Raw genomic sequence first — 24795 nt, 5'->3', positions numbered from 1 at the left:
TTTCCTTCATTTTCACCTTGGAGAATCTGATGATTATGTGTCTTGGGGTTGCTCTTCTCGAGGAATATCTTTGTGATGTTCTCTGTATTTCCTGAATTTGATGTTGGCCTGTCTTGCTAGTTTGGGGAAGTTCTCCTGGATAATATCCTGAAGTGTGTTTTCCAAGTTGGTTCCATTCTCCCCGTCACTTTCAGGTACACCAATCAAGTGTAGGTTTGGTCTTTTCACACAGTCCCATATTTCTTGGAGGCTTTTTTCACTCCTTTTCATTCTTTTTTCTCTAATCTTGTCTTTTTGCTTTAGTTTATTAAGTTGATCTTCAATTTTTGTTACCCTTTCTTCTGCTTGATCGATTTGGCTATTGATACTTGTGTATGCTTCACGAAGTTCTTGTGCTGTGTTTTTCAGCTCCATCAGGTCATTTATGTTCTCTAAACCGGTTATTATAGTTAGCAATTCCTCTAACCTTTTTCAAGGTTCTTAGCTTCCTTGCATTGGGTTAGAACCTGCTCCTTTAGCTCAGAGTAGTTTATTATTACCCACCTTCTGAAGCCTACTTCTGTCAATTCATCAAACTCATTCTCCATCCAGTTTTGTTCCCTTGCTGCTAAGGAGTTCTGATCCTTTGGAGGAGAAGAGGCTTTCTGGTTTTTGGAATTTTCAGCCTTTTTGTGCTGGTTTTTCCTCATCTTTGTGGATTTGTCTACCTTTGGTCTTTGCTGTTGGGACCTTCAGATGAAGCTTTTGCATGGTGGTCCTCTTTGTTGATGTTGATGCTATTGCTTTATGTTTGTTAGTTTTCTTCTCACAGTCGGGCCCCTGTTCTGCAGGTCTGCTGGAGTTTGCTGGGGGTCCACTCCAGACCCTGTTTTCCTGGGTATCACTGGTGGAGGCTGCAGAACAGCAAAGATTGCTGCCTGTTCCTTCCTCTGGAAGCTTTGTAGAGGGGCACCAGCCAGAAGCCAGTTGGAGTTCTCCTGTATGAGGTGTGTGTCAACCCCTGCTGGGAGGTATCTCCCCGTCAGGAGGCATGGGGGTCAGGGACCCACTTGAGGTGGCAGTCTGTACCTTAGCAGAGCTCGAGCGCTGTGCTGGGAGACCCGCTGCTCTCTTCAGAGCCGTAGGCAGGAACGTTTAAGTCTGCTGAGGCTGTGCCCACAGCTGACCCGGCACCCACGTGTTCTGTCGCATGGAGATGGAGCTTTTATCTATAAGCTCGTGACTGAGGCTGCTTTCTTTATTTCAGAGATGCCCTGCCCAGAAAGGATGAATCTAGGGAGGCAGTCTGGCTGCAGTGGCTTTGCCGAGCTGTGGTGGGCTCCGCCCAGTTCGAACTTCCTGGTGGCTTTGTTTACACTGTGAGGGGAAAACCACCTACTCAAGCCTCAGTAATGGTGGACGCCCCTCCTCACACCAAGCTCAACCATCTCAGGTTGACTTCAGACTGCCGTCCTGGCAGCGAGAATTTAAAGCCAGTGGATCTTAGCTTGCTGGGCTCCATGGTTGTGGGATCCACTGAGCTAGACCACTTGGCTCCCTGGTTTCAGCCCCCTTTCCAGGGTAGTGAACGGTTCTGTCTCACTGGCATTCCAGGTGCCGCTGGGGTATGAAAAAAAAACAAAACTCCTGCAGCTAGCTTGGTGTCTGCCCAAACAGCCATCCGGTTTTGTGCTTGAAACCCCAGACCCTGGTGGCGTAGGCACCCGAGGGAATCTCCTGGTCTGTTGGTTGTGAAGACTGTGGGAAAAGCATAGTATTTGGGCCAGAGTGCACCATTCTTCACAGCACGGTCCCTCACAGCTTCCCTTGGCTGGAGGAGGGAGTTTGCCAACCCCCTGCACTTCCCGGGTGAGGCAATGCCCCACCCTGCTTTGGCTCACCCTCCATGGGCTGCACCCACTGTCTAATCAGTCCCAATGAGTTGAGCCGTGTACCTCAGTTGGAAATGCAGAAATCACCTCCCTTCTACATTGGTCTTGCTGGGAGCTACAGACCCGAGCTCTTCCTATTCGACCATCTTGACCAGGAATACCATATATTTTTTTTAACATTTTAGATTTGGGAGTACATGTGCAGGTGTGTTACATGGATATATCGTGTGATGCTGAGGTTTGGGCTTCTATTGAACCCATAACCCGAATAGTAAACATAGTACTCAGTAGGTAATTTTTCAACACTTCCTTCCTCCCTCCCCTCTTTCAGACTTCCCAGTGTTTTTTGTTTCCATCAGAAAGAACTTTCAATATTAAAGCCATACTTACATTTTTTCTCTCCTTTAAAAATAGCTACTTTCAACTTTTTCCAAGTTTTATAACTGCATAATAAGGCTTACCATTTCCTAGTTCAGAATAAGTTTGCAAACACAATGCCTGGGGGTGCCATTCATGTTGTGAATAATCATAATCCTCATGGCTATCCACTCTTCCCTGCAAGGAATTGTGGAGTCCTTACTGTATTACTTCCATTCCTTTAGTCAGTGCCCCATTTGGAGGTCAACTACCTCCAGCACCCCACTGCCTATTACCAATTTCCATGTCAGTCTCAGTGGCAATCAGCAGAAATGGATTCTGCTTAACTTAAGCAGAATTGCAATTTATTGAAAGGGTGCTGTGTAGCTCACATAATTGTTGAGAAGGTTAGAGTACAAGGTTTGACAAACAGTCAAGAAAAAGGAGGCTACACATCTAGAGCCATAGCAAATTCTTGCCATGATCACATGAGTAAGATCCGCTAAAGCGACTGCTACTGACCACCGGATGTCACACTTTGTAGCAGCAGCATTGCTGCACCTGGAAAGTGGATGCTGATGCATCTTCTGCGTCCCTCAGCATGATTTCTTGTCCTTGTTTCACTAGATCACAATCTTTAATGCAAAAATAGATAGGTGCATCTGATTGGCTTAATTTAGTTCATGTGCTTAAGCTTTGCTTTCAGGGAGAACCATGAAAGGAGCTTTTTAAGTGTTTTCAGCTTCTATGAGAAGAGGTTGGCTCTGCATTCTCCAGAAATTTTAAAATGCAGAGTTCCCTATACATGGGAAGGAGATGAGGACACTGGGTCAATAAAAAGAAATGACATGTCTATTTCAGTTGAGTATGCATCTGTTGGTTGCATTTGCTCTGAATTCACAAACTAAGGTTGTATTTATAGCATTTTGCAAAGTTCTACAGGTGGCTAGGTAATATCAACTAACATTGATTAAATGGACACAAAATGTTTTTAAGTGATACTGATAGGTAATCTCCAATTTGTAGACTCGTCAAAGTAGATATTATGATCCTAATATTATTGAAGATGATCACAGTAACTATAGTAAACTAGGATTTACTGAGTGTATACTACAGGACACTCCCTGTGCTCAGTGCATTATCTGCGCAGCCTCAATCAGTCTTCTGAGTTTATTGTTCCTGTTTTTTCATGAGGAAATTGAAGCCTGAGAGCTTGTGCAACTTGCCTAAGATTAAACAAGTAGAAAAAGTTAGAGGTAAGACTGGAATCTGGATGACTCCATTGCCTGGACAATTACCCCTGTATCACACTTCCAGAGTACCTTCATAAGGGCTGCACTAAAGTCAAGTGTTGGCCTTGAGTTTGGCTCCAATTTGTAGTTCAAGTTTGCTTTGACTTTGGGCTTTGGAAGGCCAAGTAGCTAAAGGCTCATTGTAGTGTCATTTGTGGCATCCTTGAACTCTCCATGAACAAATCATCATCACGTAGTTTTCATTGTCTCTAATCAATATAATCAACATTAGTAGTGTGAACAAAACTTGTCATTTGTATTTATTGTCAGTGTCTGAATAGTCACATTCAAGCATAATAACCATTTCAAATGTAATGTGAACATTTCCTTATCAGCTAAATGTTTAAATTCTCTCAGTTGAAGTATTTATTATTGTAAGACTAAAATGCTTCAGATTAATGGGGATTGTTAGAGCTATTAACTTTATGTAGCAAAACAGTTGTTATGAACTTTAAAATGGTCAAATAAAAACCTAGATTGGTAGTTACCATGAATTAGTAGATTCATGAGTTAGATAACTTTACAAATGTTTATAAAATTTTAAATAATAATATAAGAGGAAATAAAATTAAATTATACCATAATTCTCTTCACTGACTTGTTTGGTATACTGCCATTTATATTTTCAAAATATAATTTTTAGGAACTATATTTAATTTTCAGTGATTTAATTCTGTTTAGATCTTGAGTCTTTTAAGAACAAAAATCCTCTTTGGATTTTTTTTTTATTTTGAAGGAAACATTTTACAAAGTGAAATTTCACCTCAAAATTTTACAAGAAGGAAAAACTAAAAAATTGTATACAATAATATCCAGAATGAATAATCCTTGACCAAGATAGAATAAAGAATGTAAAAGATTATAAAGAAAAGAAAAAAGGATTAGGGAAAAATGAGACACCTCAAATGCATAACATTCTCACTAATCAAAGCTTAAAACAATAGACTTTACCAAAAAATAAGATTTTTAAAAATAATTTTCATTATATAGAAGCTGGAAATGAAACAAAAAATGGTGAATTGATTGTTCTAGAGTCTAGACTGCCCATCACTTTTAGTAGTTGAAGGTTTCTTTTAGGTTTTCCAAATCTATAAATTCAAAGGTACAAAGTTCTTTGTAAAAGACATGTTTCTGAAAAAAATTTTTTCCATTATATTCTGCTGTTCATGAAAAGGTTAAAAATGTTATTAGATGAACAATTTGAAAGTGACTATTCACTATGGCAATTTTTTGGCTAAAATTTTATGTTTATTCTTTTATTTTAAGATTTTTTTCTTTGAGAGCTATATTTCACTTTGGTCATCAAATTTCCAGGCAAATATTGTTATTAGCACTTGAGCGTTCATTCAAAATGTGTATATTGTTTACACTACTAATGGTTCCTGTCTATCCAGAAGACCAGACATGCATTTCTTAAAACTCAGAAATAAGAAAGTGCTTTCCAGGCATGGAAGGAAGGGCTGAAGCTCAGCCAACACCAACACTTAACTACTTCTCTTTTTCAGGAATGATTTTCTTCATTTCCAGTGTACTGGAGAGCCACTGGTAACTTTTGCTTCCTTGCTCAACCCAGAGTACTACTCATTAATTGATGAGCATTGAAAAGCTTTTGAAGGCTGTCTGAAACAGAGCTTATGCTATAAAAATTGGGGTTCCCTCTGGGGGATGTATCACTGCGCCATTAAACTTGGCCACTTGGTGGCACCAAAAAGTAAGAGCAGCACTGTACGGAGGTAACCAGTGTCTACTGCGTTACAAAGAAAAAGTAAAAAATAAACAATCACTTCTTGGAAAAAAAAAAAAACCCTCTGAATTAAATTGTTTTCTTCCTTTGTAAAATTAGGGGTGGCCAGTGGTGGAGGAAGGGGGATTGTACCAAAGAGAAAGTCCCTTAAATTCCTTTAACCTTGACATTCTATGACCCTCATGTACTGTGAGTTCCCAGTATGCTCTTTGTTAATGAGACTGAAAATGATGGTAACAGGCAACACTTACCATGTGCTTATTATGTGGCAGGGCACTGAACTACGTGTGTCATAGAGATTAGCATGAGTTTATTTTTCTTTCTTATTTTACATGAGAATTGTATAAATCCTCACAACACTATAATAGTTATTATTATTATTATTTTACACATAAGGAAAATATATAGAGGCAGAAGGACTTCTACATAGCCAGTAAGCAGTGCAGCTGGGATTTGAACTCCACAGTCAGTCTTCAGAGTCAGGGACTTCATTGCAACACTCTATTTCTGAATGACTCTTCTTATTTATAAGGGGGAGGTTTACTTCCATTCTTCTGGCCCTTAAGAAAGGAAAAACTGTTAAGGAAAAGCCTCCAACACATGCATATCCTACACAGATATGTAATCCATTTGAAAAATAATGCTTATTACTACAGCATTACCATTGGGGAATAAAAAATGATGTTCACTTACTGTACTTATTTCCAAATTTTAAGTTGCAACCCTGTCTTTAACAATTCAGAAGCACCAGAGTTTTGGTCAGGGACTCCCTTTGGAGTTCAACAGTGTTAGTAACATTTTATTGTTAGCCCATGGTCCCTGGAGAGCGTAATTACAGACCTGCAGTTTTTAAACAATGGAATGAAATGATTTAATACGGGGAGAAGAGGGGAAAAGGACAATGAGAATTAGAAAGTGCTGGAAATCACAAGAGAGGTAATAAGGGCTCAGACTGAAATGGCAGCTGTGATATTAGAGACAGAAGATGAGACACAGCACAAAAGAATAAAGAGATCTGATGAATGAATGACTTGGAGATAAGAGCCAAGGAAGAAATTCGCTATTTCCTTACTAGAGATGACTGGTGATGGTATTGTGAGTAATTCTCTGTGTTTCCTGCCCAAATGGCTGAGGCAAATAATTTTGGATAATAAGTAGAACATATCGTTAGTGGCATATGTCCTTTGGAGGCAAAACAAAACAAAAAATAAATAAACCCAACAAAAAACCCAACTGTCCACAGAATAATCTACTAAAAAAATGATCAAGTGCTAGCCATTAAAAATACAGGTTGTTCAATGTCCCTTTAAAGTTTTTTGTTGTTGTAATTTCTTGGCTATAGGGGGTGTATTTGTGGGAGCTCTTGGGGGCTATCTTAGAGGGTGCCAACAACAAGTGGTTCCTGTCTTTTTAGCTAGTTAACCAGTTTGCACAACCATCAATCAAATACACATGGGAAGCCCTGTGAGAGACCAAAATCAACTCAGGAAGCCCATTGCTAAAGTTGCTTAAAGTACAAAGACAATGTTCCATTTTTAGGAGAATAGCTTTGCAGATTCTTTTCTCTTTCTCTTTCCTCCTAACACACGAATTCTGCTGTTTTGCTAAGTAAGTGTCTATGCTGGAAAACTGATGCAGTGGTGGGGTGAATAGCAGGAGAAAAATAGAAGGTTGGCAGGTTTGTTGGAAGAATGAAAAGAAGTTGACCATTGAAGCTGCGTGGCTCTGCAATTTGATTTCTTGCTGGGATGCTCTGATCAAAGATTTGTGGGCATTAAGGTAGTAACTACTGGCCAAGATTTTGGGTTGGGGATTATCTGTGAATTTCAATTATCTATTATACTTCTTCCCTGTCCTCCATTACCAAAATAATGGAAATTTGGCTACATAAACAGAACATATGAAAGCTAGAATACCACAATACCTCTTGCAATCAGCTTTCACACTTACCAAGTAGGACAATGGCCTTTGGATATATGGACATAAATCTTATTTTATCCTTTTCTAAGATTCTCTGCATTAACTGAAGCTTCTGCCCAGTTTGAACAGAAGATTATTGAACTGGAAGCTTATTGCTGTTTGTGGCATTTTTGCATCTCTGAGAGGCATGCAGGCAAGTGGTAGAAGGGAGTCGTAGACCACTCTGGTAGGGGCACTATCTGTCTGCAGGGAGAAAGGACAGATCAGCAGGCAGGGCCTTCCTTTCCAAGGAGGGCTTTTGGTCCTGATCTGGAATGGGTGGTGGAGCTGGGGGTAGGGAGTCAGGATGTGATACAAGGCTGCCCTCTAATCGGAGGACTTGGATGGAATCTGTTGCTTAAGATTTATTGGCAGTCATAGACACTAACTAGATTAGTGCGATTATTGAATATAGGTAACATTTCATCTCATTGTCAAAAGAGATAATAATCACCTTATCAATAATTGTGATTTGGTGGCTTTGTTTTGTTTGTATAAGAAGTTGAACAAAGATAGATAATAATCCCTCTGGCATCCCTTACCCCTAATCATTTTCCTGGGTGTACCAAAATGGAAGGTACGCTCATTAGAGGTTATTCAAATGCAATATTTGGTGTCATTTCTTTCATTCAACAAATATTTATTGGGGTCTACTATGCTTGGGACTCATTGCTAGGTAAGGACTGACAACTAGACAGAGGTTCTTACCTCAGAAACCTTTTTAAACCTTTTGGGAAGAGTTTGATTATATATACATGTTATATTAGTCAATTTTCACACTGCTGTAAAGAACTGCCTAAGACTGGGTAATTTATAAAGGAAAGAGGTTTAATTGACTCACAGTTCTGCATGGCTGGGGAGGCCTCAGGAAACTTACAATCATGGCAAAGGTGAAGGGGAAGCAAGGCACATCTTACATGGCAGCAGGAGAGAGACAAAGTGAGCAAAGGGGAAATGCCACACTTTAAAACCATTGGCTCTCATGAGAACTCACTCACTATCATGAGAACAGCATGGGGAGAGCGCCCCCATAATCCAATCACCTCCCACCAGGTCCTCCCTTAACATGTGGGGATTACAATTCTAGATGAGATGTGGGTGAGGACACAGAGCCAAACTATATCACATGTAATGGAAACAAGCCACGGAGTTGCTCTATTTCACTGTTCTCCCAGATATTTGAGAATTTTCATTTTTTAAAGCCTTCTTTATGCTTCTTAACTTATTCTGTCCTTCCTGCTGCTGCTTCTCCATGTTTCTCCTTGGCTGGGTCTGCTTTTCTCCTTTCCTAATTGATTGAGTCATAGCTGAGCGGCTCCTTGCTTTGTAAAGTTCTGTCATTGTAATGAGATATGCACAATATACGGATGCTCCAACTTCACTACTGAAAAGCTACGGGAAGACACAGTTGTTCTAAACTGAAGTATTTTAAATGTAGTAGAAGAGCTTGCCCTTTAAAAGAATCTTCTTTGCAATGAATCTTTTGATAAACAGCATCTTTTGTTATGTAAATAATGATCCTTTATTTCATCTGTTGGCAAGATCTAATTTTAAGGCAGGATGAACCTCCATTATATTAGAATAAGATTACAAAACTCATCACTCCAAAAAGAATTTTGTTGTAATAAAAATCGTTTGTAAAACACAATTGTCATGTGATTTTAAGGTTAAATGATGAGTGTGGAAAGTAGGTGGTAAACAATGGGATCACGTTATGTGCTATTTTAAGGCCCCAGAAAAAATTTTTGTGTTTAATCTTTTGGAAAAATTACTCCAGGAAAGCAGTGATGAAATATGAATATGAATTGGTATGTTAAAATGAGAGTGAACTCTAATAGTACATATTTCTAGTGAATCAATATCTGTCTTTCTAATACGGTTGTTATAGTCATCAGTTTTGCTGGTGGTGAATATAATTGTTGGGAAAGTGTTAGTGGAGTAACGTGTGCAGAGGCCTGGAGCTCTTCAGGGGCAGACAGTCACATTTCTTAGAATTCTTAGAATTTAGAGTTCCCTAACTACTGTCATTTTTTTGTGTGTGACTCTTCTTTGAAACTATTCTGAGTGTTATCTTTCCTTTGTACATCTGAGAAAAGCAAAGTCTAGAAAAGTTTCAAAATATTATCTTCTAAGTCATTTGAAAGAACCTGCATTAATTAGAAGTTGAGTTGTCTGTTTTTCTGTTTCAAATCTTTTCCTTAACAAAGAAACACAGTGGTATTTAACAGCTAATCAGTATCAGTCTGTCTGTGTGGTAATATGCATATGGACTAGGGTATGTTTAGTTTTGCCCAATTATGAAAAAAGACTTTAGTTGAGGATATAGAGTTAACAAGCTAAAAAACTATTTAGGATCTCTAAAAGTACTTTATTTAACATCTGCTTATTATTTAAACTGTGCTAATCGAGGTAATTCTTAGATAATTAATAAAGGTTAGCTCTCTACTTGACAACACTAATTATTCTTTCCTTTAATTGGAGAAAGTTTAGAAAAATCACCAGACATGCCATCCAGAGAGAATTCTTATTTGTATGTTGGCACATTTGCTTTCAATATTTTTTTCTGTTCTGTTTTTTCAATTTTTTTCTATTATTATTTTACACATAAGGAATATATATAGAGGTGGAAGGACTTGTACATAGCTAGTAAGCAGTGCAGCTGGGATTTGAACCCCAAAGTAAGCCTTCAGAGCCTGGGACTTCATTGCAACACTCTATTCCTGAATGACTCGTCTTATTTATAAGGGGGAGGTTTACTTCCATGATTCTGGCTTTTTTTTTTTTTTTTTTTTTTGAGATGGTGTCTCGCTCTGTTGCCTAGGATGGAGTGCGGTGGCGCGATCTTGGCTCACCACAACCTTTGTCTCCTGGATTCATGTGATTCTCCTGCCTCAGCCTCCTGAGTAACTGGGACTACAGGCGTGCGCCACCATGCCCGGCTAATTTTTGTATTTTTAGTAGAGACGTGGTTTCACTATGCTGGCCAGGCTGGTCTCAAGCTCCTGACCTTGTGAAACACCTGCCTCGGCCTCCCAAAGTGCTGGGATTACAGGCATGAACCTCTGTGCTCAGCCAGATTCTGGCTCTTAAGAAAGGAGAGACTGTTAAGGAAAAGCCTCCAACACATGCATATCTCACATAGATATATAATCCATTTAAGAAATAATACTTATTACTACATTGTTACCATTGGGGAAATAAAAAATGACACTCACTTACTGTACTTATTTCCATATCCTTGATGTGCTAATGGATTTGGTTTGCTAGTATTTTGTTGAAGATTTTTGCATCTATGTTAATCAGGGATATTGGCCTGTAGTTCTCTTTTTTGTTGTCTGTTTGCCAGGTTTTGGTATCAGGATGATGGTGGCTTCATAGAATGAGTTAGAGAGGAGTTCTTCCTCTTCGATTTTTTGGATAGTTTCAGTAGAATCGGTGCTAGCTCTTCTTTGTACATCTGGTAGGATTTGACTGTGAATCCATGTGGTCCAGGGTTTTTTTGGTTGGTAGGATTTTTGTTATGATTCAATGTCAGAACTTGATCTTGTCTCCTCATTTCTTCCTGATTTATCCTTGGGAGATTGTGTGTTTCCAGGAATTTATTCATTTCCTCTCAGTATTCTAGTTTGTGTGCATGAGGTGTTCAGAATAGTCTCTGAAAATCCTTTGTATTTCTGTAGGATCGGTTGTAATGTCATCTTTGTGTTTCTGGTTGTGCTTATATGGATCTTCTCTCTTTTTTTCTTTGTTAATCTAGCTAGTGGTCTATGGATCTTGTTTATCCTTTCAAAGAACCCACTTTTGGTTTCATTGCTTCTTTGTATAGATTTTTGGGTCTCAATTTTGTTCAGGTCTGTGTTGATTTTAGTATTTCTTTGCTACTGCTAGTTTTGGGGTTATTTTTCTAGTTCCTCTAACTGTGATGTGAGATTATTAACTTTATAACTTTTTGAGACAGGCACTTAGTGCTATAACTGTCTTCTTAACACTGCATTTGTTGCATCCCAGAGATTTTGGTATGTTGTTTCTAAGTTTACATTTATTTAAAATAATTTTTAAATTTTATTGTTTCTCCAAAAGTTGTTCAACAGCAAGTTGTTTAGTTTTCATGTAATTGTGTGGTTTTGAGGGATCTTCTCATATTCATTTCTATTTTTATTCCACTGTAGTTCAAGACGATGGTTGGCATTATGTCAGTATTTTTGAATTCACTGAGACTTTCTTTATGACCAAACATGTGATTGATCTTGGAGTATGTCCCATGTGCAGAGGAAAAGAATGTATATTCTATGGCTGATGGGTGGATTATTCTATAGGTGTCTATTAGGTCCGATTGGTTAGGTGGCAAATTTAAATCCAAAATTTTTCCAGTTTTCCACCTCAATGATCTGTTGAATGCTGTCAGTGGGATGTTGAAGTCTCCACTGTTATTGTGTGGCTAAGTCTTTTTGTAGGTCAAGAAGTACTTGTTGTATGAATCTGGGTGCTCCAATGTTGAGCGCATATGTATTTAGTTAAGACTTCTTGTTGAATTGTGTGGTTTATCATTATATAATGCCCTTTTTTGTTTATTTTTACTGTTGTTGACTTAAGAACTTTTACCTGACATAATAATAGTGACTTCTGCTTTGTTTTTGTTTTTCACTTGTATAGTAAATCTTTCTCCAAGCCTTTACTTTGGGTCTATGGGTGTTGTTACATGTGAGATGGGTCTCTTCAAGACTGCATATGAATGGGTCTTGTTTTTGTACTCAGTTTGCTTTTGTTTATGAAGTCTCAGGATGTATGGAAATGTTAACTTCCATGCAGTCAAATAGAAATGGTTTTTAAATTTGTGTTCTTTTCTTTTGCAGAAATTCTACATAAAAATATCCAATGTCGCTGTCTCTCTCATGTAATGGGGCTCCACTCACTTTTATCAGCCAGCCGAGCTGTTTGCTGGCATTCTCCTCCCTGGGATCTTCCCTTATTTATTTCTAATGTTCTTTTTATATTGTAGATACAGACTTTGCCAACATTTTACAATATTCATGTCCAGTCAACCATTTGCTTTTGTTTATAAAGTCTTAAGATATATGAAAATGTTAATTTTCTGGTCTTTTATCATTCAGAAATTCTACATTAAAATATCCAATAACAACTCACAAGTATTTTTTTAGTCCTTATGATTATTAAAATATTTACCATTTTAATATATCCTCTTTCCCAATTCTGTCTTTGTTGATCTTAGTTCTGTAGAATGATGATAGATGAGAGGCAGAAAATTTTCTATGGTCACAAAGAAATACAAGGCTACACGTTAGGCTCATTTTTGAAAAAGCTTTAGGACTTCTCCGAGTATTTAGCTTGCTAATGTACATTATTTACTTTATGTGAGGGAAGCAGAGGAAAGACACAACCAGAGTTGTTTAATGAACACATTGTTTCTATTTTCCTGAGCACATATGAGATGTGATTCCTCAGAGCTTGCTTTGGGAAACATGTTCTGATACATCTAATATGTTATAATTACAGGACAAGGTGAGCCTCTAACTTTATTTTTTCCCCTAACTCATTAATCAATTGTTTGAGCATCAGAGCATCACTTGTTCAATAATTATTGATTTCCTTATTGGTTCATGAATTGGAACTTTTTTCTTTTTTTAGCCTAAGTTGAGAGTGATGGAACAGGATAAATAGAAGACAATGTAGAGAAGCAGCAGGCTTGCATCCCAGAGAACAAAATCTGAAGGAAATTACATTTCCAAGTATTATGTTAATAACACAAACTGTGTTCAATAGTCAGAAACAGTAAAACAGCAGACGGGCTTTAATTAAAGCTTCACATCACTCTTTTCAATGTCCTTCTCTTCACATGAACAGCTGCTTCATGGCACCCACAGAAGAAAAATGTTTCCATTTGAAACTTTCTCGAACAAAATGTAAAATTTCAACCAACGGTATTTCTAAAAATTTGAGCTCTTCAATGTGGCTTGTATCTCCTGCATGATATATTACATTTTGTTTATTTTGGAAGCTCTTGAGTATGTTATTTGTGTCTATTTCTGATTGAGTGCCTTATATCTCTAAGACTTAAAACTATCATTCTGTATAAAGTTCTTAGATTAGAAGTAAAATATAAATATGAGTTCAAATATAAGGATCATCCGCTTTAGAATGAATGACCTAATGAAGGAAAAAGGCATTACATGATGACTGCACAACTAGGGCGTTTGATAGTTTGCTTGCTATCAATTATTTTGTGCAGTTAACATCTCTCTGGAGTAGCCGCCTGTTCAAACAGCCTGGTCATCAAGAATCTTGAGTTGGATTTGCCAAACATTTCAGAAGGACACACCAGTTATATAGAGAAAACCTTCCACATAAATCTTAAGACATTTTACCTGTTAATGGATTCTCAGGACTTTTACCTTCACTTGCTTGAAACAAAAAATGAGAGGTAGTAGGGTAAGTGACTCAATCCTTGCTACTCATCAAATGAAGTCACTTTTCACTTATGTTCCCATGTAGCACCTAATGCCTTGTTAGGATGCAGAACCCAGATGGTGTTGTGCTGGTAAATATGCTAGAGCAATTTATAACCTCTGTATGTCATCTACATATCAATAGCAAGAAAATAAATAACTGTATTTAAATATGGGCAAGGAACCTGACTAGACAGTTATCAAAAGAACACATACGAATGGCCAACAGGTATATGAAAATACTTTCAACATCACTAATCATCAGGGAAATGCAAATTAAAACCATAATGAGATATCACCTCACACCTGTTAGGGTGGCTATTAACAAAAAGACAGAATCCTTGAGTTCTGTTGGTGGGAATGTAAATTAGTATAGCCCTTCTGGAAAACAGTATGGAGTTTCTTCAAAAAACTAAAAATGGAACTACCATATGATCCAGCAATCCCGCTGCTGGGTGTATATTTGAAGGAATTGAAATCTGCATGTTGAAGAGGTATCTTCACTACCAAATTCATTACAGCATTATTCACAATAGCCAATATATTGGAATCAACCCCAGTGTTCATCAATGGATGAATGGATAAAGAAAATGTGGCAATATACACAATGGAATAATAGCCTTTAAAAAGAAGGAAATTCTATCATATGTAACAACATGGATAAACCTAGAAGACATTTTTCTAAGCAAAATAAGCCAAGCACAGAACAACAAATTTTTTATGATCTCACTTATAAATGCAATCTAAAAAAGCCAAACTAATAGAAGTAGAGAGTAGAATGGAGGTTACCAGAGGCTGGGGGTTGGGGAATAGGAAGACGCTGGTCAAAGCCTACAAAATTTTAGTAGGATGAATACATTTTTGAGATCTATTGCACAGAATAGTGACTGTAACTAATAATAATGTGTACTTCAGCATTGCTAAAAGAGTACATTTTAAATGTTCTCACCACAGAAATGATGTGTGTGAGGTGATGCATTTGTCAATTAGCTTGATGTATCCATTTACATGAATGCATATATTAAAACATCACGTATCCCATATTACCATTTGTCAGTTAAAAAAATACTTGTAACTGGGCCAGATAAAGAAGTTTAGTGTGACATATAATGTGAGAAGCCCCAGAGGTGAGGATAAGTGGGGCATCAAAACCAGTTTAGGAAATGCTTTCATTGTGTGCCAAGATGAGGAGTAACAGTAACTTTTTTAGCATAATGATTGAGACCATGAGCTTCAGAGCCAATTTTGCACCTCACTGGCTGTGTGACCTTGGGTAAGTTACCGAACCTCTCTGTGTCTCTGTAAAATGGAAATAACAATAGAATTTATCATCTCTATTTATACTATGTGTGTGTATATATGTGTATATATATTCTTATATATGTACACACACATATACTCACTTAACAATCATGCCTCACATGAAATAGATAAGATCATCTGAGTGTAGTAAATTATTATAAAGTCCACTGTCTGGCATATAATAAGCATCATCTATGTGTTAGTTATTCTGATTACGGGAGATGAAAGTTTTCCATATGGTAATCAAACTATTCCCTCCCTACTCACACACAGAGTTTGCACACAGTTAAAAAATATACACTGTCTACCTCACCAGCCTCCCACCTGACTTACCCTACTTGGGCACAATCTCTTTTGAGACCCTGTATCATCTCCAACATAACTCCAACCAACTTCCCAATCTATCTGAGTATAATAGGATATGTTTTGCAACTTTTCCCTACCTCCATGCATTGCGGGTACTCTTTTCCCATGGCTGTATTTGTTGATTATAATTTCCTGATGGGCATGGATATACAGTTTCTGGTGAAATAAACAAAAATAACACACACAGACTGAGGACAGAATTCAGTTCTTAATTTCCTTGAAAATTCATGGAGGATTTCAATACTTAACAAGTCGGATAAGCCAATTGTGTTCTGTCTGCACGCACTAGAGCGTTGATCTTTTCTGCTGGTAGGTGAAGTAAGACTCTGTGTATCACTCTGTCAAAGGCATTCTGGCTGTTTGTTGAAGGTCGTATTTCCTATCAGATGGTAAAAACACCAATTAGAGATTCTCAGGAGAGCAATAGGCCTGTCCAAAAGGTATAGAGTAAATGCTAAAAAGAAGCAAGGCTAAGGTGACCATGTGGTGCAGAAGAGGAGAACTGGCCTGAGAATTCAGTGACCAGGCTCTGGATCCTGAGCTGAACTTGCCCCAAACTCTGAACCACTCTGCAGTGGACTGAATGTATCCTCTCAAAATTCATATGTTAAAATACGAATCCCCAGCATGATAGGATTAGGAAGTTGGGCCTTTGGGTGGTGAGTAGCTCATAAGGGTGGATGAATGGGATTAGTGCTCTGATTTAAGAAAGATCCCTGGTGCCTTCTGCCATGTGAGGACACAGCAGCAAGGAGGCCCCGACTATGAGGCTGGAAGTGGGCCCTCCGCAGACGCGGAATCTGCTGACACTTTGATCTGGGACTTCTCAGCCTCCAGAACTGTGGGAAATCAATTTCTGTTGTTTATAATCCACCTAGTTTATGGTATTTTGTTATGACATCCTCGCTTATCTTTTCTGCATGGTTTTCCAGCTCTGAGCTCCATGATTCTGTGTTGACTTCTTAGATCTGTATCTCATGGATATTATTATTCATTTATCATAGACAATCTCTGCAGGATGACTGCAGGACACAATTCCAGGTGCTTTTATCAGAAACTTAAAGGAGGAGAAAGCAAAGCCATCTCTTCCCCCAGCTTGCTCTTAAGAGCCAGGACTTTTTTTTTTCTTTTTTTTTTTTTTTTGGAGCTTCCTGGATAACTTTTGATTTTTCACTGACTGAAAGTCACATTTCCATATGGAGGCAAGAGGGAATGGGATCATCCTTAGGCCAGACAGCACCAAGCCTGGAGCTTACCTGAAGCATGTAGTTATGGAAGAAAGGGGTGGAGGCCTGAGTTTAAACAGTGTTCAGTTAGAAAGGCAGGGATTGCATATATACTTCCCTAGTTTAATAAAAGATGGTGACGGGATAGGATCAGGACCATAGCTTCAGTTTTCCATGAATTAGCTCCCTCCACAGAACCATTTGATAATAATTTGTCTTGTAAGTTTGACTCTAGTTGTGTCATTAGTGAAGGCTCCTTACCAACCTTCTTTTAATGGGAGAATGACGAATGCATTACTGAAATCCAGACGTACCACATCTACTGTATTGATTCATCCTCAAGCTGTAGTAACTCAGGGCTTAGTCCTTGGATCTCTTCTTCTTTCTGGATAACTCAGTTCCTTGAAGGTGCTATCCAGACTTACGGCTTTAAATGCTGCCTTTTGTTGAAGCCAAAATTTATATTTCCAGCACTGACTTGTCTCTGAACTCTATTCCAAACTCATTTCCACTACTTCAACTAAGCAACTAAAGATAGCATGTCTGAAACTGGGCTCATAATATTTCTCCCTGTTATAACCTGACCTTTCTCTAGTCTTTCCCATCCTTGTAGAGGAAATTTCATTTGTGCCAATTGCTCAGAGTGAAAACCTTGAAGACATCATTGACTTCTTTTTTTCTTTCACCACCCCCCCAGATCAAATCCATCAGCAAATCATGTTGACTCTGCCTTAAAAATATGTCCAGCATTGTACCATGTTCTACCACCTCTGTGGCTACCATCCCTAGTCCCAGCCACCAGAGACTGGGTTATATAAATTGATTTTTAAGAGGTTTTCTTGCTTTCTCTTTAACTCCCATTCTGTCCTTTTTCATAAAAGCAGCCAGAGGGACACTGTATAAGTTAGAGTAGATCATTCATGTGTTCAAACCCTTCCAAGAGTAAATACTAATGTCTATACATTGACCTACAAGGTCCTTCATTATCTCTGCCTTCATTTCCCACTATTCTTCCATGCCTTCTATTTACTTCAGCCTGCATTGCTGTTCCTTGGACACATTCCTACCCCAGGACCTTTGCACAAGCTGTTTCAACCACCTGTAATACCTCTCCTCCCACCCTCAGGTTTCTGCTTGGTTTCTACCCTAAGTTCTTTTCTAAAAATGTCATTTTCCCATCTACTCCATTTAAAATTCTGCTCCATTTGAAGCTTCATATTCTCCTCTTCTGCCTAATTTTTCTCCTTAGCATTTATTACTTCCTAATATGCTATACTTATTTATCTTATTTAATGTGTGCCTCCCTTATTAGATGTAAACTCCATAAAGGATAAGATTACTGTTTTTGTTTTATTCACTGCTATATGCCGAGAACCTTGACTCATAATAAGTTCTCAACAAGTCTACTAAATGACTGTTGAATGAATGAATTTATCAGGTTTAATAAATATGAATGCCTTGAACCTAGGCAGGTAAATTCAATCAGGATATCTGGCATGGAGAATGGACATATGTAGTTTTTTGTTTGTTTGTTTGTTTGTTTGTTTGTTTTCGAGATGGAGTTTTGTTCTTGTTGCCTAGGCTGGAGTGCAATGGCATGATCTTGGCTCACCGCAACCTCTGCCTCCCAGGTTCAAGGGATTCTCCTACCTCAGCCTCCCGAGTAGCTGGGATTACAGGCATACGCCATCATGCCCGGCTAATTTTGTATTTTTAGTAGAGACGGGGTTTCTTCATGTTGGTCAGGCTGGTCTCGAACTCCTGACCTCAGGTGATCCGCCCACCTCGGCCTCCCAAAGTGCTGGGGCATATGTAGTTTTAAAAAGCTTCCTAGGTGATCTGAGAGTGTTGTCTTGATGGACCCAAGGTATTCTCTGACAACAGCAACTATTTATTTGTCCCCATTAGTCTGTGTGCCTATTTCACACAGATATGGCACAGGCTATTTGTCTCTCTTATTACATTAAACATCCCGGGCAAAAGCCTGTGATTTAACAAAGAAAGGAAGAGTTCCAACCAAAGTAAGTAAATTAAAGAAAGCAGAAAACCTGCTTTTGTTTTCACTGATAACAGTTCTTGCCATGTCGATAGGTTACCAAGCTGAAGGCATTTTCAGTATCTCAGTGGAATTAGTTCTGTAATTACTCTCACCAACACACACCTACAATATCTTGGGGCTATAAGTTTCAATAATATTTTTCAGAACACATTTGTTCATTTGTTTGCTCGAGGAGGCCAAAATATTGATTTGTTTCATCAGGCTTGAACATTCTCATTTGTCCCGGGCTGTCCTGCAGCTTTGACTCATGCAGTTCACATGCGTGCACACACATGCACAAACACACATGCATGCACACACACATGCACACACATGGATGCACATATACATGCACAAACATGCATGCACACACACATGGATGCACACACACGTGCACAAACACATGCACACACATGCACAAACACACATGGATGCACACACACAAACACGCATGCACACACACATGCACAAACACACATGGATGCACACATGCATGTGTGCACACACAACCTTTACATTGGGGTTTTTCATCTCTAGATAAATTATCCTCTATAGTTACAGTTTAATGCTAGGTTACAAAAAGAATATCAGATACGCCCTTCTGTTTCCTTTCACTCTGGTTAGTTCTGGCTCTATTTTATTCCATGTTGTTTTTTCTCAGCCCTTACAAAGTTAGACGCCTTACCACATAAAATATTCTGGTCATAAGGCCTCCGTTTCCATGAATGGTTCCACATTTGGCTTCTCACCCATGCCTCTTGTTTTGAAGAAGCAGTGGCTACTGTTTGTGATAAAGCAGTGTTGCAAAGACAAAGAACCCAAGTACTACATTTCCCCTTTCTCACCCCTTCCCTTGTTTATCTGAAACTCACAAGTCCCTGCAGGAAAAAAAGGATAATAAATTTGCCTCCATTTCTTCCTATGGAGACCCTATTTGGATCCTGGGTCTGAGAGAGAAGCTTGCTGTATTTCCGCAATTCTTTCTCAGCTACAGAGGAAGGGAAATCAGGAAAAGAAGAAGCTCTACCCAGAAGCAAAGTGCATCCACAGGCTCCACTACCCAAACCTTCCCTCTTTGGCAATTGTTGGGTCAGCTCTTCACTGTCTCTGGAAAAAGACAGGGGCACTTTTTTGTTCTGCCAAGAGCATGTGCCTTTTTATGACTTCATAATATCTTGAGATGTATTAGAAGAGGCTCTGAAGTTGCTGCTCATTTGATGGGGAAAGGGAGGTGTGGGTCAATATTGTGGCATTTCATCTCGCTTTGCTCTCCCAGTTTTATCTGCACTTCTCCCCCAGGATTCTGTTTTCTCCCTCCCATCACTTGATGGTGGACAGCTAGTTTAGCCTGTGGATGGGCAGCTAGTGGGAAACTCTAGCTTCTGTGATTTTCTGCTTCTGGGTTAGCAGGGAGGGATCTAGTGGCACAAGACAGCACATATGCTATGCGGGAAACTCTCTTACTGGGGCTCCTCTTTGTCCCTTGCAAAACATCCAACTTTGGGTGTGAGGTTGGGAATTGTGTGTGTGTGTGTGTGTGTGTGTGTGTGTAGAAAGGGCTCAGAAACTCTCATCTCCTAATTCCAACACTCAGCACTCCCTTCCCTATGCTCTCTTTCTAGAGAACGGCACATTTGAGGTCTCCTGTCAGCATCTACCTAGGCTCAAAGTCAGAGCTGCCTCACTTTTTCAGGGATTTTTAAAGAATAAGTTTTGAGGAAGCAAGGATACTTTGATTTTGCATTTTTTCTTTTGGCTTCCTTGATTCTGGCAAATTTTATCTGGTTGATTGCTTCAGATTCCTCCATTGTCTAAAACGGCAACTGCTCTAACATTTTTGTTTGTTTGTTTGAGACGGAGTCTTGTTCTGTCGCTCAGGCTGGAGTGCAGTAGCACAATCTCGGCGTACTGCAACCTCCACCTTCCCAGGTTCAAGCGATTCTCCTGCCTCAGCCTCCCGAGTAGCTGGGGTTACAGGCACCCGCCACCACGCCCGGCTAATTTTTTGTATTTTTAGTAGAGACAGGGTTTCACTAGGTTGGCCAGGCTGGTCTCCAACGCCTGACCTTGTGATCCATCCGCCTTGGCTCTCCAAAGTGCTGGGATTACAGGCGTGAGCCACCGCGCCCTGCCAACACTTTCTTAAAGGAATAGACTGGAGGAATATGAACCAGAATCATCCTCTTGGATATTTGGGACACTCTACCAGGATGATTTCTGGTTATTGCTTTGTACAGAGCATAGAAAAGTTAACGTGCTTGTTGAAGTTCTCTCTCTCTTTTTTTTGAACAAGATGGTGGCAATGATGAATTGATTTGTTAACATGAGGCTTTGAAATTACAGTGCTTTTTACAGACTTCATATATCTATATTGTCTCCCCAGAGACAAAGAAATAAAATTGACTGCACCTCTATTCAAATGATGCTATTATATTCCCATTCCAGAAGTGTACTTCTGGTGGTGCACTGTTCATCACTTGATAGATGTTCTTACGGTAAATCACTGTAAAATGAAGAAAGGGCCAGGGGAGGGAACTTGGCAAATTGTTAAGAATTCTGCGATGTTATTGCATTCTGTTCAGCTTATGATTCAGAATTTGAACGACGACGTGTGCTGATTTATTAATCATGATATAAGGGACAAATTGTCAGACATTAGCATTGGAAATCATTGTTTTAGACATTTCATAATTTTAACAAAGCTAAAGATTAAAAAACTGCTTTATTAGATGACCTTTTTCTATTTGTAGTGGTGCAACCTGTTCTTGCCATTCTGTCAAACACGTTGAATGTGAATAGATGGAATAAATGCCCAGTTACTGTCTAATAAAAATAGCAATTAAACAATTACTATTATTGGTTAAAAACCATTGTATTCTTTTCATAATCATCAGCTACTAATGGATGAGCAATAAGACGCAGAGTTTCAGAAGTACAGCTAAGCATTATAAATATCAAGTGTTTATAAGCAGTTGACCTGCATGCATACACATTTATCAACTAGAAGTTAGGTAAAAATAAATTAGACTTGTAGTGTTTTTGTTCTGTTTGGTTTCCAGTCTCTCCTGAGATAGAATTATCCTTTAATACAAAAAGGCTGTTCATGGTATTTCACCTTTTTTTCCTTCTCAGGGAAAAATTCAATTGTGAAAATGGAAAAAAAAGCCACAAATGTTTAAAAAAAATGAGTTTTGGCTTTGAAACAAATTTTAAACTTAATATTTTATTTAATCCTATAATAACTATATAATATAGAGTAGGTCTTATTATCTTTACTTACAATAAACATAACTGAATTATTTCAGATTAAGTTAATATCAAAATAGTTCCTCAACCTTCCCAGAAAAACAGGGATGAATTTCAGCACTTATGACTCAATGCCTTTATGACCTATTCCTGTTATTGTTGTTATTATTTCACCATCGGGCTATTTATATCTTAGTGTGGGATGACTTAGGAAAATATTTCCCTAAGGTTTTTGGTCTCTCAATTAACATCAAACTGTTTGAGTGAAGTTTCATTGCCAGAATTCCCCAAACTACCAAGAAGTTCTATTCAGATTTTTCTAACCATAAATGAGCCTGTTTAGTGTTTCCCATGACCATATATCAAGATATTTTCAGTTTCAGGCTGGACTAGTACACAAAAGGACTTAAAAGCCACAAAGGAAAATCTGCCACCCCTTATGGCACTAGAGTTTTCAGATAAAATTTCTATAAAATGCTAGTTTGTATCTTAATGAACGTTAGACTGTTCTAATTATTTGGAGTCACATTACTATTTATCTTGTGGTAACGAAAGATTCCATTCAGATACAGTTTTTTTTCAGGGTACACCAGAAATTCTTAGCAGTGTTTCAGCCTTTAAGGAGAGGGAAGGGAGATTACTTTTTCCTTTTTGTACTATTTAAAGATATCCATGTATTACTTTTATAAAGTTTAAAAATGTACAATACTCATGTAAAGAAGTGAAAAATGCTTTGGGAGGCTGAGGTGGGCGGATCACTTGAGGCCAGGAGTTTGAGACCAGCCTGGCCAACATGGTAAAACCCTGTTTCTACTAAAAAAAAAAAAAAATACAGAAATTAGCTGCGCGTGGTGGCACATGCCTATAATCCCAGCTACTCGAGAGGCTTGAGGCATGAGAATCACTTGAACCTGGGAGATGGAGGTTGCAGTGAGATGAGATGCCCCTGCACTCCATTGAGCTACAGAGTGAGACTCTGTAAAAAAAAAAAAAAAAAAAAAAAAAAAAAAAGTGAAAAATGAGAATTGTAAATTCATCTTCAGGCGATTCAAGAATATGTTGTGATGAAGGATTTTCCAGGCAGCCTATATCTACAAGTTCAGACTAGTCTGAGAAGTAAGAATTAGAGCTGCCGGGCTACCATCAAGCATCCAATTTTCTGAGTAATCAACTTGGCAAGAAAGTAAAAATGAAGGGGTGCTCATGGTGAAAGTGACGAGGGAAATCAGCACTTTCACATTCAAAAGAATGTATGTCAGATATTCTAAAAGTTAAAATCACAGCTAACAAGAATATCCTTAATGATTTATTCCCTCAATAAATCACTTTGTTCTTGTGAAACAAATGCTGCAATGTACTTTCTTTTTAAATCTATGTCTCTGTCTCCTTTTGGCTGAATATTTTAACTCAGTTTTGCTCTTACTGCCTTAGTTTTCTAAATGCACATTTGAATCATTGTTCAATGGCAAAAGTCATATTACAAAGTGTTCCACGTCTGTGGCAAGGCTAAGGACCACAATTCCTGGGAACTGGAGTTGCACTTTAATCCCTCAAATTAGGGAGGAAAGGCACTGCTTACCCTGACATGAGAAAATGCAAAGTTATGATGTGGAAATAATCTTCGGGCACTTACTGAAGGGTTTATCAAGTGAGTAATTTGTAAAAGCTATACACATAGTATTAATGTTAGTTGAGTTTACCTCTGTACCAGGCCCTGTGCTAAGTAGTTGTATTAGTCAGGGTTCTCCAGAAAAACAGAACCAGTAGGATATGCATTTATCTATCTATATAAATATATATGTGTTAGTTATATAGATACATGGGGATTAATTATGAGGGATTGGCTCAAGAGATCATGGAGGTTGAGAAATCCCACTACTTGTTGTCTGCAAGATGGAGTCCAAAGAAAGCCAGCGTTGTACTTCCAGTCCAAGTCCAAAGGCCTGGAAAACAGGGGAGCCAATGTGTAACTCCCATCTAAGTCTGAAGGCCTGAGAATCAGTAGCTCTGATGTCCAAGGGCAGGAGCAGATGAATATACCAGCTCAAGAAGAGAGAATGAAATCACCCCTCATCCAACTTTTGTTCTTTTTGAGGACTCAACAGATTGGATGATGCCTACACATATTGGTGAAGGTGATCTTCTTTACTTAGTCTGTTGATTTAGATGCTAATGTCTTCTGAAAATACCTTCATAGACACACCCAAATATAATGTTTTACCAGCTATCTGGGCATCCCTTATCCCAGACAAGTTGACACATAACATTGACCATGAGAGTGCTTTAGCTGCATTATTTCCTTTCATCTTTACAAGTGATGTGATGGGAGGTTTTTATTTTCCTTATTTTATAGATGAGTTGAGAATCCCAGAGGAATAGTAACTTGTTTTAAGGTCACGTAATTAGCAAATGGCCAACCTCCAGGGTCTTAAAATACATAAAGACCCAAGCAAAAAACATTTTAATTTCTACCAAAGTTATTCATGCCCTTCCTCTTCCTACATCCCTTCTCTCTCATTCTTGTATTCTCCCAAAGTAAACTCCTTATTGTTCCTACATCTTTATTTTTTAGAGGACAAAACTCTTTAATTTCCCTTGTCTTTTCTCTCATATTTTCTGACTATCTTTTAGCTCTATATTCTGGGGGTTTAAAAAATTGTGTTCACTAATTATATTGGATATTTCTGCTGAGTTATTAAAATGTAACTAACCAAACTTAATCTTTCAGATGTATGGCAGACAGACTCTAAGTTGATCACTCCGTGATACTGCCTCCTGATGTTCATGCCTCTAAATGTGGACAGGCTGTCATTTGCTTCAAAACAACAGATAGGAAGCCACTTCTATGATTATAATATGTCATGTAATATTTCATCTTGCTGGTTGACTTCCTCTACAAACTTTCCTTACTGGCTTGATGAAGTAAGTGG

The 24795-nt window shown here is 38.5% G+C and overlaps 1 annotated feature.

Moving 5' to 3' along the window:
- Nucleotides 1090–1606: an enhancer, noted in NCBI's record as "H3K27ac-H3K4me1 hESC enhancer chr6:131022881-131023397 (GRCh37/hg19 assembly coordinates)". NCBI's record gives its function as "activates a minimal SCP1, AML or CMV promoter by ChIP-STARR-seq in naive H9 embryonic stem cells {active_cell/tissue: H9 hESC(naive)}" and the evidence as "EXISTENCE:reporter gene assay evidence [ECO:0000049][PMID:30033119]".

This window comes from Homo sapiens, chromosome 6 (assembly GCF_000001405.40).
Source record: "Homo sapiens chromosome 6, GRCh38.p14 Primary Assembly".
Lineage (NCBI taxonomy): Eukaryota > Metazoa > Chordata > Mammalia > Primates > Hominidae > Homo > Homo sapiens.
The sequence above is the reverse complement of the archived record's forward strand: the minus strand, read 5'-3'. Positions and strand labels throughout refer to the sequence as shown.